General features: G+C 49.7%; 1 protein-coding gene and 1 long non-coding RNA gene across 19 annotated transcripts in view, besides 11 other annotated features; one reads left to right on the top strand and one right to left on the bottom strand.

Annotated features, from left to right (window-relative positions):
* Nucleotides 1-8568, bottom strand: part of TBC1D22A (TBC1 domain family member 22A) — a 413050-nt gene extending 404482 nt beyond the window's left edge. For 17 of the 18 annotated variants that reach the window (XR_007067971.1, XR_007067970.1, NM_001284304.2 and 14 more), the window contains exon 1: nt 8370-8568. Coding sequence is in view for 14 of the 18 variants with exons in the window: in XM_017028742.3 (XP_016884231.1) it covers nt 8370-8431 (62 nt within the window). In the remaining 4 variants the exon portion in view is untranslated. 18 annotated transcript variants of the gene reach the window in all.
* Nucleotides 434-1312: an enhancer, noted in NCBI's record as "H3K27ac-H3K4me1 hESC enhancer chr22:47165803-47166681 (GRCh37/hg19 assembly coordinates)". NCBI's record gives its function as "activates a minimal SCP1, AML or CMV promoter by ChIP-STARR-seq in naive H9 embryonic stem cells {active_cell/tissue: H9 hESC(naive)}" and the evidence as "EXISTENCE:reporter gene assay evidence [ECO:0000049][PMID:30033119]".
* Nucleotides 1313-2193: an enhancer, noted in NCBI's record as "H3K27ac-H3K4me1 hESC enhancer chr22:47164922-47165802 (GRCh37/hg19 assembly coordinates)". NCBI's record gives its function as "activates a minimal SCP1, AML or CMV promoter by ChIP-STARR-seq in naive H9 embryonic stem cells {active_cell/tissue: H9 hESC(naive)}" and the evidence as "EXISTENCE:reporter gene assay evidence [ECO:0000049][PMID:30033119]".
* Nucleotides 1852-2061: an enhancer, noted in NCBI's record as "active region_19256". NCBI's record gives its function as "activates an Ori minimal core promoter by ATAC-STARR-seq in GM12878 lymphoblastoid cells {active_cell/tissue: GM12878}" and the evidence as "EXISTENCE:reporter gene assay evidence [ECO:0000049][PMID:35858748]".
* Nucleotides 2312-2361: an enhancer, noted in NCBI's record as "active region_19255". NCBI's record gives its function as "activates an Ori minimal core promoter by ATAC-STARR-seq in GM12878 lymphoblastoid cells {active_cell/tissue: GM12878}" and the evidence as "EXISTENCE:reporter gene assay evidence [ECO:0000049][PMID:35858748]".
* Nucleotides 6851-6900: an enhancer, noted in NCBI's record as "active region_19254". NCBI's record gives its function as "activates an Ori minimal core promoter by ATAC-STARR-seq in GM12878 lymphoblastoid cells {active_cell/tissue: GM12878}" and the evidence as "EXISTENCE:reporter gene assay evidence [ECO:0000049][PMID:35858748]".
* Nucleotides 6921-7000: an enhancer, noted in NCBI's record as "active region_19253". NCBI's record gives its function as "activates an Ori minimal core promoter by ATAC-STARR-seq in GM12878 lymphoblastoid cells {active_cell/tissue: GM12878}" and the evidence as "EXISTENCE:reporter gene assay evidence [ECO:0000049][PMID:35858748]".
* Nucleotides 7041-7110: an enhancer, noted in NCBI's record as "active region_19252". NCBI's record gives its function as "activates an Ori minimal core promoter by ATAC-STARR-seq in GM12878 lymphoblastoid cells {active_cell/tissue: GM12878}" and the evidence as "EXISTENCE:reporter gene assay evidence [ECO:0000049][PMID:35858748]".
* Nucleotides 7861-7920: a silencer, noted in NCBI's record as "silent region_13917". NCBI's record gives its function as "represses an Ori minimal core promoter by ATAC-STARR-seq in GM12878 lymphoblastoid cells {active_cell/tissue: GM12878}" and the evidence as "EXISTENCE:reporter gene assay evidence [ECO:0000049][PMID:35858748]".
* Nucleotides 8041-8120: an enhancer, noted in NCBI's record as "active region_19251". NCBI's record gives its function as "activates an Ori minimal core promoter by ATAC-STARR-seq in GM12878 lymphoblastoid cells {active_cell/tissue: GM12878}" and the evidence as "EXISTENCE:reporter gene assay evidence [ECO:0000049][PMID:35858748]".
* Nucleotides 8687-9521: an enhancer, noted in NCBI's record as "H3K27ac hESC enhancer chr22:47157594-47158428 (GRCh37/hg19 assembly coordinates)". NCBI's record gives its function as "activates a minimal SCP1, AML or CMV promoter by ChIP-STARR-seq in naive H9 embryonic stem cells {active_cell/tissue: H9 hESC(naive)}" and the evidence as "EXISTENCE:reporter gene assay evidence [ECO:0000049][PMID:30033119]".
* TBC1D22A-DT (TBC1D22A divergent transcript) lies at nt 8690-9307 on the top strand. Its single transcript, NR_186691.1, has one exon. It is a non-coding gene; the product is annotated as a TBC1D22A divergent transcript (long non-coding RNA).
* Nucleotides 8821-8950: an enhancer, noted in NCBI's record as "active region_19250". NCBI's record gives its function as "activates an Ori minimal core promoter by ATAC-STARR-seq in GM12878 lymphoblastoid cells {active_cell/tissue: GM12878}" and the evidence as "EXISTENCE:reporter gene assay evidence [ECO:0000049][PMID:35858748]".

Raw genomic sequence — 15882 nt, 5'->3', positions numbered from 1 at the left:
CTTGTTACTTAAGAAACAAATAAATAAATAATCCAAAATTGTCAGGGATCAATCATTTTTGTCTTCATTTAAAATTAACCCAGAGTCCAGATTTACTCTATCAGACGAATATGTAAGAGAAAGGAAATATGATTCACATTCAATTTATTTTTCAAAGTGTTTCTGGACAAAGTAAGACATTTAATAACATGGAAAGTAACCGCTGAAAGGAACAAGAAAAGGAACTGCACCTACAGCAAAATCTCACCCACCAGCTCTTCCGCGGCCCCCGTCACAGGAAGGTCATCTCCACTCACAAACAAGAAGAGAAACCCAACTGGCGGGGAACACACAATCACTGCCGGAACAAGACTCCGGGGCTTCCCTCTGCATGGAAAACAGGACTGAGGGTTCTTACCCAATAAACAATCTCTTCAAAACATAAGCAAAAGGCAATACAGATTTATAAAAAACACAAGAAAGCAAGGCGGCCAGAAGCAGCAGCCAACATTCTGAGGAAAGAGGCAGGGCTCTATTTGGTTCCTAGGCCTGAGCAGGACATAGGACATAGGAAGAACCCTCCGAGCTGACTTCAGTCCCCTGGGTTTAAACACACTTTGTGGAGGTTACCCAGTGACCACCCCCAAGGCCGCTGACCAAGGTACTCCTGCCCACATCCAAGTGCAGGACTCTGCTGAGGGAGGTGCTGGGCCACCTGCCATTCCCTGTCAGACATCCCTCGGCACAGTCCCCAACTCTTCACAGCTGCTGTAACAAATTACCACAGCTTAAAACATGCATTCACTATCTCGAAGTTCTGAAGGTCAGAAATCCGGCATGGGTCTCATCACACTGAAGTCCAGGCGTCAGCCAGCTGTGCCCCTTCCGGGAGGCTCGAAGGGAGAACCCCTTTCCTGCTCACTCCGGTTGGCGGCAGAATTCAGCTCCTGGCGGATGCAGGAGCAAGGCCTTGCTCTCCTGTTAGCCATCTGCAGAAGGCCTTTCGCAGCTTCTAGAAGCCGCGCCACATTCCTGGTGGCTGCCTCCTCCATCTGCAAAGCCAGCCGCTGTGGGTGGAGTCCATCCCACACCATGTCTCTGACCACGTCCAAAAGCTCGTGAGGTTACACTGGGCCCACCAGGTAACAGGACAATTCCCCCATTTCAGGTCAGCTGATTAGCGACCTTAATTCCCCTCTGCCATGTAACAGAACATATTCACAGGGGTCAGGGATGAGGATGAGGACACCTTTAGGGGGCCAGTATTCTGCCTACCACACTCCCATCCCCTCAGGCCAGCACCCTGGAGATCACCTCGACCCCCAGCACCCCGCCCATCAGTGAATCCTGAGTGTGCCATGTGTACCCTGAACATGCCCGATCCTCTCCAACCCCACAGCATCTGGCCTCGGCCTCCTCAGAAGCCCACCAGTTTCCTCTCTCGCCCTCTCTTCAAGGATGACAAACAGTGTCACAGTATCACACCCCTCCCTGTTTAAAACCCTTCAACACTCTCTCATGGCTCTTAGGACCACAGCTCAGATCTTCACCATGGCCTTGGAAGCAGCTCCAGTGCCTGCTCACCACCCTCCATGCCCCTCCTCCCCAGTCAAGCGCTCCCCACTCCTATACACCCTCCCCTGACCTCAGCAGCCAGATCGGTTCCTGCTGTACAGCCAGGTCTCGGCGGAAGCGGGACCTGTGTAAGGAGGACATGAGCATTCCACCCAGTGAGGGCCTTGCTACTCTGCCAGGGTCCCGGGACTGCCACCTGCCCAGCACTGCAGTCTGTGCGCATGTGTTCACAGGGCAGGCGTCCAGCCGTGAAGAGCCACATGGCTTGCTCAGCACGCACCACAGCACCTGGCACAGGAGAGGAGCTCGTAAACGTTTTCCAAATGAATTCATTATCCCCAACAGTGCCTCTCCTTCGGCTGAGGACGGACTGTGGCCTATTCAGCCGACCGTCTGATTTGCTCACAGACATCTCGTGGCTCTGGCAATGTAAGCTGAAGGCTGTCAGAGCCACATCACTAAGAACCCTCTTGTGCTCCAGCTTTATCCCAGCACTCACATCCTTGCCATGCTCAATTTGGGCCTTTCTTGCTACCATAACACTTTCTTTTTTTTTTTTTTTTTTTTTTTGAGACAGAGTCTTGCCCTGTCGCCCAGGCTAGAGTGCAGTGACGCGATCTCAGCTCACTGCAACCTCCACCTCCCAGATTCAAATGATTCTCCTGCTTCAGCCTCCTGAGTAGCTGGGATTATAGATGCCTGCCACAATGTCCAGCTATTTTTTGTATTTTTAGTAGAGACGGGGTTTCACCATGTTGGTCAGGCTGGTCTCGAACTGCTGACCTCAGGTGATCCACCCGCCTGGGCCCCCCAAAGTGCTGAGATGACAGGCATGAGCCAGAGCGCCCAGCCACCACCATGCCACTTTCAAACGTCATACTCCACATACCCCAGCTGCCTGCATACCCTCTGTCAGCAGACCACACCCTGCCAGGCGGAGCTGAGCTAAAATAGCAAACATCAGACCCACACTGAAAGACTGCCTGTGTTCTCAAGCCCAGTGTGCTGTGATTTTGTCTTGGCATTTTTAAAGTGAAGTGTGGCGAGAATTCCAACTGCAACTGCGGAAAGCAACAGCCCTTCGGGAGCCAAGAGAGTCAGCGGCCCGGGAAAGAACCAGCCCAGACAGTCAGAGACTGAACCTTCAGATTCTATTTTTTTTTTTTTTTTTTTTTTTTTGAGACAGAGTCTCGCTCTGTTGCCCAGGCTGCGGGGCGGTGGCGCGACCTTGGCTCACTGCAACCTCTGCCTCCTGTGTTCAAGCGACTCTCCTGCCTCAGCCTCCCAAGCAGCTGGGATTACAGGCGCCTGCCACCACGCCTGGCTAACTTTTGTATTTTTAGTAGAGACGGGGTTTCACCATGTTGGCCAGGCTGGTCTCAAACTCCTGACCTCAAGTGATCCACCCACCTCAGCCTCCCAAAGTGCTGGGATTACCGGCGTGAGCCACCGCGCCCGGCCAAACCTTCGGATTCTTATCACTTACCATTTCTTGCCACCACCACAGCTTCCACTCAGGTGCAAGCCGCCACCACCAGTGACCACTGGACGCTGCGGCACCCTGGCCTCCTGGTCTCCCTGCTTCTGCCCTTGCCCCGACTCCCAACGCCTCCAATCTGTCTTCAGTACAGCAGCCAAAGATATCCCATTAAACCTAATGCAGACCATGCCACTTCTCTGCTCAAAGCCCTCCAAAGGTTCCCCATTCAGCCAGAATCAAAGAACAGTCCATGTCTTCACTGTGGTCATGAGGCCCTACCCCACCACCTTTCATGACGCACCCCACGACTCTCCCCTTCTCTCGGCCAGACCCACCCTGGCCCCAGCTCCTCTCCTCAAGCACGCCAGCATCGCTCTGGGAGTCCTCTGCACCTGCTCACTCCTCTGCCAGGACCGCTCTTCCCCAGCCTCCTGGTTGGCCTGTTCCCTCACCTCGTGCAAATCTTTCCTCAAATGTCACCTCAGTGAAGGGCTCCTTCTCACCACCACACCTGCCACTAAGCCACCTAGTCCTCTTTCCCAGCATTGTTTTGATAGCAGCTGTCACCTTCCAACAGTTAACTCCATTTAACTGAGCTATGTTATTTATACCCGGCTCTCCCACTGCACTGTAAGCTCTGGGAGAGCAGAGATCTAGGTCTATTTTGTTCACTAATATTATCTCCAGCACCTGGGGCTGTTCCTAACACATACTATGGGTTGAATACATATTTGCTGGATCAGCAAATCATCAAATTCTCAAAACTGGTCCAAGAAGCCCATTCTTTTCTCCTCAAAGAGAATCGTGCTAAGCCAAAGATATCTCCCCATTTGCCATAGCTACTTAAACCAAACTCAACCGCTTTGTGCTACAGATACAGACACTGATGGCCCCAGAGGTAACTTGGTGAAGACCACTACCGGAAAAAGAAAGTTAAAATCTGGACCACCAACTCCTAGTCCTCTGACTAGGAGGGTCTATCTACCACACCACACATCCTGGCTCATCCAGAAACAAAGTTTCTAGGAAAGCGTCAGCCACATATGCAACCTAAGGACCAGGGTGTGCATAAACCGAGGGTCTACCAGCAAGACCACCTCTCCTGCAGTTTATAGCCCTGGCCAAACCACTCACTCTCCAGGCTAATCGAGGAGATAGTTCGGAATAAACACCAGGTATCGGTACTGACAATGCAAGAATGAGAAAGATACTTTTCCTAAACCTGTGGATCTCACTAGTGAAAGCAAGCACATACCAGGGAGAACAGGAAGCCAGAGGCACCAACAACACTGAGTTTGATGCAAAAAAGGGGGACTTTAGTTCAGGCTGCATAAAAACAGGAGGTGTGGGCCGGGCACGGTGGCTCATGCCTGGAATCTCAGCACTTGGGGAGGCCAAGGCGGGCGGATCATGAGGTCAAGAGATCGAGACCATCCACACCAACATGTTGAAACCACATCTCTACTAAAAATACAAAAAAATTAGCTGGGCATGGTGGTGGGCGCCTGTAATCCCAGTTACTTTGGCAGCAGAGGCAGGAAGATCACTTGAACCCGGGAGGCAGTGATTGCAGTGAGTCTAGATCACACCACTGCACTCCAGTCTGGGCGACAGAGCGAGACTCCATCTCAAAAATAAAAAAGAGTTGAACTATCTGAAAGATCCCTTACTAGTCTTGTATTGTACAGTGGGTGTAGTCTTCCTCCTGAGTTTCCTTGAGATGAGGGCTGCACTCAAAAACAAAGAGGAAAACAAGGCTGGGTGTGGTGGCTCACGCCTGTAATCCCAGAACTTTGGGAGGCTGAAGCTGGTGGATCACATGATCAGGAGTTCAAGACCAGCCTGGCCAACATGGTGAAACCCCATCTCTACTAAAAATACAAAAATTGCCGGGCACAGTGGCTCAAGCCTGTAATCCCAGCACGTTGGGAGACCGAGGCAGGAGGATCACAAGGTCAGGAGATCGAGACTATCCTGGCTAGCACGGTGAAACCCCGTCTCTACCAAAAATATAAAAAATTAGCCAGGTGTGGTGGCAGGCGCCTGTAGTCCCAGCTACTCGGGAGGCTGAGGCAGGAAAATGGCGTGAACCCGGGAGGCGGAGCTTGCAGTGAGCCGAGATCGCACCACTGCACTCCAGCCTGGACAACAGAGTGAGACTCCGTCTCAAAAAAAATACACACACACACACACACACACACACACACACACACACACACACACACATAAATTAGCTGGGCGTGGTGGCCAGTGCCTATAATCCCATCTACTCAGGAGGCTGAGGCAGGAGAACTGCTTCAACCGGGACCCAGGAGGTGGAGGTAGCAGTGAGCTGAGATCATGCCACTGCACTCCAGCCTGGACTACAGAGAGAGACTCTTGTCTCAGAAAAAAAAAAAAAAAAAGGAGGAAAACAAGGCCAGGCATGGAGGCTCACGCCTATAATCCCAGCACTTTGGGAGGCTGAGGTGGATGGATCACCTGAGGTCAGGAGTTCGAGACTAGCCTGGCCGACATGGCGAAACCCCATCTCTACTAAAAATACAAAAAAACAGACAGGCGTGCTGGTGGGCGCCTGTAATCCCAGCTACTTGGGAGGCTGAGACAGGAGAATCACTTGAACCTGGGAGGCAGAGGTTGCAGTGAGCCAAGATCACACCACTGCACTCCAGCCTGGGCAACACAGTGAGACTCCATCTCAAAAAAAACAAAAACAAAAACAAAAACAAAAAAAGAAAGAAAACAATCATGGGAAACAATTGAAAGAGCTGCCAAAGCCACAGGAACCTGGCTAGGATCTCCACTAGCACTGTGCTTGCATAGGTGTGGACTAAATAAATACGCAGCTAGTGACCAATCACCACTACTGATAGGAAAACGGGCACCCCTCTGTGACTCCTCCTTCAGGGAAGAGTTCCAGCCTGCCACCTGAAAGAGCAGCACTGCCAGAGGCTTGAGCCACAAGACGGATGGGAGACACAGAGGCTTCACAGGCCTTCCTGGTGCACCCAACCTCTCCTTCTTCTTCTGCCCTCTTCAGTGACAGCCTCGAACTCTCCAAGACTCCAACTTCACAAAGGTAATACAGAAGCTGCTCTCAAAAGTGCCTAAGACACAGAATAGCATCAAAGTCAGAGGAAAAGGAAAGCTGGTGTTCGGTATTTCAGGTTCACACAGAAGAAAGCTGGAGACTGTATTAGTCTCCTGTGGCTGCCATAACAAATTACCACCAACTGAATGGCTTAACACAACAGACACTTATTCTCTCTCAGTTTTAAACGCCAAAAACCCAAAATCAAGTGGTCATCTGCAGGGCCATGCTCTCTGTCAAGTCTCTAGGTGAGCATCCTTCCTTGCCTCTTCTAGCTTCTGGTGGCTGCCAGCAACCCCTGGCTTTCCTTGGCTTGTAAATGTACTATTCCAATCTCTGTTTCTGTCTCCATAGGGCCATTTCCCTGTGTGTGTCTCTCTGTATTCAAATTTCCCTCTTTTTATAAAAATACTAGTTGACGAACTAAGGCCCACCCTCATCCAGTATGACCTCATTTTACCTTGATTACTTGTGCAAAAACCCTATTTCCAAATGTCACATCCATAGTTTCCAGATGGACATAAATTCAACTCAGTATAAGGACAAATTACCAAGAGCCACAGCCTTCAATCCAAAGGTTGAGTCACTGCTGTAACTCCACACAGCAGCTCTGTTATTCTTACATCTAAGCTGATTAAGAATTAGAGTTTAGACTGATGAGGAACCAAAACCTTAAGACCTAAAAGTAACACATAAAAGTTACACTGTCATGTGGCTCCTCTTCCCTGGACTCTTATGTTCTACAGCATTTGTTCCTGTCACTACCAGGACCTCCTACCCACCACCATTCCAGAATCTTCACTCACCTTGGACCCTGACACTGGTTTTGTTGAAAGGTCTTACTGTTCTCGAATCAAGCACGGTCCTGTGGAGTCGAATAGGGTCTCCGGCCACCTTTGATGACTCCCTTCATTCTCAAAGCCACTGTCTGAGCTGTCAGTAACTCACGCTGCTAACCCCCAGATCACTCTTAAAAGTAAACTTTCCTTTTTTTTTTTGAGACAGAGTTTCGCTCTTATTGCCCAGGATGGAGTGCAATGGAACGATCTCGGCTCACTGCAACCTCCACCTCCCAGGTTCAAGTGATTCTCCTGCCTCAGCCTCCCAAGTAGCCAGGATTACAGGCATGTGCCACCATGCCCAGCTAATTTTGTATTTTTAGTAGAGACTAGGTTTCTCCATGTTGGTGAGGCTGGTCTCAAACTCCTGACCTCAGGTGATCTGTCCACCTCGACCTCCCAAAGTGCTGGGATTACAGGCGTGAGCCGCCACACCTGGCCAAAAGTAAACTTTTCTAACTGGATGCAGTAAATTCCAAAGTTTATCATTCAAACACTCAAACAATAATATTTATTATGAAACAGGAGTACAAACCATTTTACTGTGTTTATGAATGATTCTACTCAGACTTATCTTCGTAACACAATTCATAATTTTCAGCATTCCAGACTTCAGCTTTGGAACAGAACTATGTTCTGAAATCTTGACGTTTGCTTATCTCTGATCTGTTTTCACCAGTGGCTGATTTTATCCTAGGTACCCTCCACGTAATGTCTCATTCCCTAGGGCCCTGGCATAGCTCAGCGCCACAGCAATCAGACAAGGACTCTGGAGCTCTGGAGCTGTATAGCATCTAGGGTGTACCCAGGTCATTCCAGCCGAAGAAAAAAAAAAAAAAAAAAAAAAAAAAAAAAAAAACTTCCTGCTAACACAACATAGGAGGTGGTTTTGACACCAGCAAGCAGAAACATGGAAACTCACAGGGAAACTCTAGTCCTCTTCTATGCTCAAGGCAAGAGCCGCAGCCCTCAAGAGACCACAGGCAAATCAAGTGGGTCAAAAACACCACACCCCCTGCAGAAACTGATCCACCCAGCAGACGGGGGGCCTCAGCCCGGCCAGCTTCCGGACTCCACCAAACTTCACAGCATGACCCGAATCAGTTCCTTCCAGCCTCCCCAAGGAGCCCAGGAGTTTCTCGGAAAGAAGCCTGCCAGTGTCAGGAAAAACGCCAATAGCTCCTCCTCGTCCTTGCAAGCCTCGATCCTACGTGCAGCCACTGTCACCCCCAGACCCCACGCTCCGACCTCCGAGCCCCCCAACGCCCGTCACACCATCCAGCAGTCTCCTCAGAGTCCAAGTTGCCCTCTCCAGACCCCCGACTCCACCCGCAGCCCAGGAGGCCAACGCGGCCACCTGACCTCTGACCCCTGACCCCGACCTGGCCCTCCGCGGCACACCCACCTGCCCGGGAGCTTGCTGTTGCTGCGCTTCCAGAATTGCTTCCTGGCCCCGTCGCTGGCCATGGCCCCTCCTCATCCCTCAGACCCGCGGCCCAGACACCCCGAGTGCACCCGGCCCTCCCCTAGCGGCCCTTTCCTGTGCCCCGGGTGGCCCCTCACTGCTCCCGGGACTCCAGAGCCTAGAGCCGAGAAGCTCTTCCGCCTCCTTCCGGAAGTTGTGCCTACGCGCGCCCGGAAGTCCCGCCTAAGTCCCTGGTGGCGAGTGACGCAGCACTCCGAGCGCCCGTCGTTATTAAAGGGCGACGCCGCGCAACGCACGTTACACGCATCGCGGAGGGAGCGGAGGTGGTTGGGTTTCTGAGTTTGAGTCTGTCGCTCCTGGCTCTCCCGACACAACAGCGGCGCCCACCTGCCCGCAACGGACTCCCAGGAGCCTCGAGCTCCTCATTTCCAAAGCTGAACTGCCCCGTGTCTGATTCCGATTTCTCTTGAGCGCGTTTCGGAGCCGGCCCAGAACAGAGGGAAGCCAGACACACCATACCCGGCCCAACAGTGGCAGGGCGGCTGCGGGTGCTGGTCAAGCTGGGTCACCCGGCACTGAGTGACGATCAGCAAATACTCAGTGGACGAAATATTTGCAGTGCAGTGAGGTGAGGGGCATAACCGCGGAGCGTATTCGAAGAGATGAGAGAGACTGGGGATTAGGCCAGGCTTGAAGGGAAGAATGGTTTGAGCACCGAGGACAAGAATTAATTCCCCAGGCCTGGGTTCCAGCCTTGTGCGGCTATCACGTGCTTGAAACCTGGCTAGTCCGGAGTGAGATGCGCTTTACGTGTAAAATACAGGATTCCAAAGACGTCGTATAAAATAATTTGTATATTGTTTGCATGTTAGGTAACATTTTTAATGTATTGGATTAAATAAAATGCATTAAAATTATTTTTACATTCCTTTTACTCTTTTTAAAATTATTTTTACCTTTTTTATTCTTTTTTTCCGGGGGGGACTGGGGGTGGGTGTCTTGCTATGTTGCCCAGGCTAGTCTCGAACTCCTGCCCTCTAGTGATCCTCCTGCCTCACCCTCCCCAGTAGTTGGAACTGCAGGTGCACACGTTATGACTAGATCTTTTTACTGTGTGTGTGTGTGTGTGTGTGTGTGTGTGCAGAAAATCACTAAAAAAACCGTGTCTGGTTTGCATTACATTTCTGTGCTTCTTAGACCAAAGATTGAATGCTCAGGGACTGTCATTTCAGACTGGAGCTTTAGTGTATTTGGAGCTCCTGCCAGTTCTCTTTTAAAACAAAAATCTAAGACATATTTTCTGATTAAGAATTTCCCTGGAGGCTGAGGCAGGAGAATAGCGTGAACCCGTGAGGCAGAGCTTGCAGTGAGCCCAGATCGTGCCACTGCACTCCAGGCTGGGCGACAGAGCGAAACTCCGTCTCAAAAATAATAACAATTTCCCATGCCTCTTCATTTACTGGTAAGTAACATTGACTTAGTACTTACTATGTGCAAGGCGTCCTACTCTCCTAGAATCCTCTCCTAGTAGGGCTCAGAAGGCCCCAGGGGTCTCCTCCTGACAGAGCCCTGACAGCCTCAGACAGTGAGGTCCCCTACAGACAACACTGAGGACCATGGCGGTTCTTTCCAGCTCAGTCTGGCTTATTGCAAGAACCAGTGAGCGAGGTGACAGCAGGATTAACCTGATGGAAGGGGAAAGGAAGGAAGAACTGAAACAATTGACAGAGGAAAAACTGGCAGCACTTAGTGACTGGTTACACCTTAGATCCGGGTGCTTTTTATAGCTTACCGTATACTTTGCTAGCTACTGTTTTCAGGCGAAGGAGTGAGGCTGAGATTGACTTGAAGGCTTCAAAACCAGCTAAGCAAAGGATTACTAGGATCACAACAGAAACGTGAAGATGGAAAAAGAAAGTCTGAGTAGAAGGCCAGTTTTGAAAGCCAAAGTAATACAGATGTTGGAGTCTACATATGGGACCTAGGAATTGGGACAGATTCTCAAATCCCAGAGGTATGGAATGGAACATTTTTTATTCATTTTTGCAACAAGTATTGAGCAGCAATGCAAATTAAAACTAAGGACATACCATGTTACACTTAACAGATTGGCAAAAACTTAAAAACCTGTCTTTACCAAACTTAATAAGGATGTGGATTTGTGAGCAGAGCAGAACTCTCTTGCACTGCCAGTAGGAGTGTACGTTCATTCACTAACTTTGGATGGCCACTTAGCAATTTCTAGCAAAGATACTCTATAACTTAGCAATTCCACTCTTGGTATGTGCTCTAGAGTACCTTGCCTATGCGTGCAAACACAAGAATGTTCAGTGCAACGTTGCTTCTAGTGGTAGTTGGGGTCTGGGGGAGAAGCAACCAAAATGCCATCTATGGCAGAATCGATAATCTACACAGTTATGCAGTAGAATACCATAAGTTAGTAAAAATGAATACATTAGTTGCATACATCAACATAAATGAATTTTGCAAACTGTGGGGTTGTTTTTGAAATGGGGCTTACTATGTTCCCCCGGCTGGCCACAAAATCCTGGGCTCAAGTGATCCACCTCAGCCTCCTGAGTAGCTGAGTACAGATGCAAGCACTACCGCACCTGACTCCACAGTGTTGAATGAGAAAAAGTTGAATATTAATTCACATGGTATGATACCATTTAGTACTATTTTCTTTTAAAGGATGAGAATGCGACCAGGTATGGTGGCTCATGCCTGTAATCGCAGCACTTTAGGAGGCTGAGGCAGGAGGATCCCTTGAGCCCAGGAGTTTGAGGCTGCAGCAAGCTGTGATCATGTCACTGCACTCCAGCCTTGGCGATAGTGCCAAACCCTATCTCAAAAAAAAAAAAAAAAAACCAGAATGGTAAAAGATAAATTCAGGAGGGTGGTTGCCTATAGGTACAGGTGGGGACTGTGAACAGGAAGGAATTCATTCATAGCGGATCAATTGTGCTATTATGCTTTGTTTCCTAAGGCAGATGGGCTATATTCAGGTGTTGGTTATATTCTTTATGAGTTTTTACATGTATAAAATGTTTCATAATACATTAAAATATAGTTATTGAGTTTGAACTGTGCTATGCACTGAGCTACATTGAACTACATGATAAGGCAAACAAAAGTGCAGCAGGCCAGGCACAGTGGCTCACACCTATAATACCAGTACTTTGGGAGGCTGAGGCGAGAGGATCACTTGAGACCAGGAGATCAACACTAGCCTGGGCAACATAGGGAGACCCCATCTCTGTGAAACTTTTTTTTTTTTCTTTTAGCCAGTCATGGTGGTAAACACTCTTAGTCCTAGCTACTTAGGAGACTGAGGCAGGAGGATCACTTGAGCCCAGAAGTTCAAGGCAGCAGTGAGCTAGGATCACACAACTGCACTCCAGCCTAGAAAACAGTGAGACCCTGCCTCAAAAAAACAAACAAAAAAAAATTGGGATAGTATTTCAGGATGGCTGGATTTGCAATGCCATTTGGGTTCCTCGGGAAGTGTTTTCTGCTTTCTTTGCTTTCAGATGGCCTGCTCCGGGCTTAGAATATCTCTCACAGGACCTTACTGAGTGAGCTGCCACACTCCCACTTGGTGGGTTCTGCCTCCTAAGTTTCCTGGTGCTGTACCGTCCATAGGCACCGAGCCTGTGCCCCAAAGTAAAAAGCTGACTGTTCTATCTGTATTGGTTTCCTAAGGCTGCTGTTGGCAGAATGCTGCAGACTTAGCGGCTGAAAACAATACACATTTACCCTCCTACAATCCTGGAGGTCAGAAGTCCAAAGTCTTAGCACTTCACTGCACTAAACTCAAAGCGTCAGCAAGGCTGCCCCCTTCTGGAGGTTCTAGGGGAGAGTCAGTTTCTTACCTTTTTCAGCTTCTAGAGGCCACTTAACATTCCTTGGCCGACACTCCTTCCTCTGTCTGGAAAGCAGATCACTCTAATCTCTACTGCCATCATCACATCATCTTCTCTCCTTCCGATTCCTCCTAGATCCCTCTGACCTCACGTCAGGCCCACTGGATAATCCGGTCCAGGCTGATCTCCCCATCACCCGGCCCTTAGCTCAATCACACCTGCAAACTCCCTTTGGCCATTTAAGGTAACATTTGCAGGTCCCAGGATTAAGTCCTGGTATATCTTCAGGGGTTCATTATTCAGCCTACCACAATAATAGACGGCATATAGCAAAGGTCCCCAGTTTCACACCGCGAGAGGCAGGCGTCGTCTTCACTGCCCCCTTCCCCAACTCCTTTCAGCCATTTTTATATTACAGGGACTAGCAACGTGCCATTTCCTGACACTAAGTCAGGATGAGTTAGGGTGCTGTTGGTTGCAAGAATGACAAAGTTCAGCTCAAATTAGCTTATACTACAAAGGGAATTAGTTGGTTAATGAAAAAGCCCAGAAGTAGCTCAGAAGGTTTGGAGAAGGGCTGATACAGCAGCTCAACAATGACCCAAGGGGCCTGTCTCCTTCTGTCAGTCTCTTAAGTCTTTGCCAAGGACAACTTCCCCTTGAGGTCACAGGATGCCTCTGTTGGGCCCCTGGGATCATGTGCTTACCTCTAGTCAGGATGCTAGAGAGCAGAAATACTGTGAACTAGTATCAGTCCCCGGGAAGGGAGCACTATACATTGCTTACCAATTCCAGGAGAGCACACTTAAACACCTCACCAATTTCTGCTGAGTTTCCTAAGACTGCCAGGAGGCTTTGCACAAACCCAGCAGCCAGAGTTCTGCAAGGGTTCTTGACTCTGGCAGGGGCTCAAAGCTGACCTAGCTGCTGCAGCTGTCATACCTCCACCCTCTGTATTCTTTTTTTTTTTGGGACGGCGTCTCACTCTGTCACCCAGGCTGGAGTGCAGTGGCGCAATCTTGGCTCACTGCAAGCACCACCTCCCAGGTTCACGCCATTCTCCTACCTTGGCCTCCCAAGTAGCTGGGACTACAGGCGCCCGCCACCACGCCCGGCTAATTTTTTGTATTTTTAGTAGAGACAGGTTTTCACCATGTTAGCCAGGATGGTCTTGATCTCCTGACCTCGTGATCCACCCACCTCAGCCTCCCAAAGTGCCGGGATTACAGGCGTGAGCCACCGCGCCTGGCCTACCCACTGCATTCTTAATGTCTAGTCTGGTAAAACAGAACACCTGCAAAACACGTCAGACAAAGCAACTTTATTATTCACAGAGAGGCCCCAAACATCAACCCAAGCCTAGGATCCATGGCGAGCCAGTCCACCAGCAATCAGGAAAGCTACCCAGGGCACTAGAGTGTTGTCTGCAGGTGCCCCCACTTCACACCACAGCTGAGGGGCGTGAAAAGCACACTCTACTCTGGGTTCTCTACCCCAAATGCAACTGGGTCCACTGGGCTACAGCATTGCAGGACATCCTGATCTAGGGGAGATGAGCACAAAGCCTGAGCTGTTCGGGACAGTTCCACCTTATCTCAGGATGTTGCAACCTCTGTATATTCTGCCCAAAAATTCTAAGCAAGAGGGGGAAGAGCTGGGTCATCCAGTGTCATTTGGGGACCTGTCACCTGGCAGATGCTCCATTGTAGCTGGCAATGAGAGTCAATCCTTCCAAATTTTGTGGCTGCTGCCCAACAAGGGAGGGTTAGAATCCCAATATCCAGGAACAATCCCAATATCCACTACAACACCAAAGGCCATGTTGAGAGAAACTGGTGGATTTGACAACTTAAAATGTTTACTTGTTTGTCAAAAAAAATGTTTTAATTGGACAAAATATATGTGCTATGTCTGACAAAGGGTTAATATATGGGAATCTTACAAATAAGGAAGTAGAAAACCACAATAGGAAATGGGTATGATTGTTTAAACCAAGTATATATTTTTCAAGCTTATCTTAAACTATAAATAAATCAAAGAATATGTTTTCAAAAGAAATACAGCTCTCTAGCTCCTGCTCTCAACATGTGACATGCCTGTTCCCGCTTCACCTTCCACCATGAGTAAAAGCTCCCTGAGGCCTCACCAGAAACCTAGCAGAGACCAACACGACACTTCCTGTACATCCTGCACAACCATGAGCCAATTCAACCTCTTTTCTTTATAAATTACCCGTCCTCAGGTATTCCTTTATAAACACCGCAAAAGTAGCCTAACACAGAAAACTGGTACCAAGAAGCAGGGCATTGCTGTAAAGACACCTTAAGAGTAATGACCTAGGGTAACTGGCAGAAGAAATTTCTAAGTAGCAAAGCATTCAAGAGGTGGCCTGCCTGCTTGTCACAGCCAATGATCATATATTGGAGCAAAGGAAAGTTGGAGCTCATATTTAAAAGGGAAGCAGAGCATGAAATTTTGGAAAATTTGCAGCCTGGCCATGTGGCAGGGAAAGAATCCAAGCAGGCTGGGGAGCAACCATTAGCTAGAGAGATTATCATCACTAAAAGGGAGCCAAGTGCTAATATCCAAGACAATGGAACAAAGGCCTCAAAGGCATTTGGGAGATCTTGGAGACAGCCCCTCCCATGACAGGCCCAGAGGCCTAGGAGGAAAGAATGGTTTGAGGGGCCAGGCCCAGGACACTCCTCAGCCTATGGACACTGCTCCCCACATACCAGCTGCTGCAGCTCCGCCTGTAGCTCAAAGGCCCCAGGTATAGCTTGGGCCACCACTCTGGAGAATACAAGCCATAAGCCTTGGTGGCTTCCATGTGGTGTTAAACCTGTGGGCACACAGAATGCAGGAATAAAGGTGGCAGCTTCCACCTAGATTTCAGAGGATGTATGAGAAAGCCTGAGTGCCCAGGCAGAAGCCTGCTGCAGGGGCAGAGCCCCCACAGAGAACCTCCACCAGGGACAGAGCCCCCACAGAGAACCTCCGCCAGGGGCAGAGCCCCCACAGAGAACCTCCGCCAGGGGCAGAGCCCCCACAGAGAACCTCTACCAGGGCAGAGCCCCCACAGAGAACCTCTACCAGGGGCAGAGCCCCCACAGAGAACCTCTACCAGGGCAGTATGGAGGGGAAATGTGGGGTTGGAGGCCCACACACAGTTCACAGTAGTGAACTCCACTGCCTAGTGGAGCTGTGGGAAGGGGACTGCACCCTCCAGACCCAAGAATGGTAGCGCCACCAGCAGCTGCACCTACACCTGGAGAAGCTGCAGGCACTCCACCCCAACCCATAGAGCAGCCACAGAAGCAGGACTGCCCAAGGCCTTGGGACGCCACCCCTTGCACCAGGATCCAGGATGTGGAGTCAAGGATTATGTTGGAGCTTTAGGATTTTTTATTTTATTTTATTTTATTTTTTTGAGACAGAGTCTTACTCTGTTGCCCAGGCTGGAGTGCAGTGGCATGATCTCAGCTCACTGCAACCTCTGCCTCTCAGGTTCAAGTGATTCTCCTGCCTCAGCCTCCCAAGTAGCTAGGATTGCAGGCACGCGCCACCATGCCCGGCCAGCATTGGGATTACAGGCAGGAGCCGCCCAAATGCTTTCTTAGATGCAA

This window comes from Homo sapiens, chromosome 22, assembly GCF_000001405.40.
Source record: "Homo sapiens chromosome 22, GRCh38.p14 Primary Assembly".
NCBI lineage: Eukaryota > Metazoa > Chordata > Mammalia > Primates > Hominidae > Homo > Homo sapiens.
Note: the sequence above shows the minus strand (reverse complement) of the source record. Positions and strands in the feature narration are given on the sequence as shown.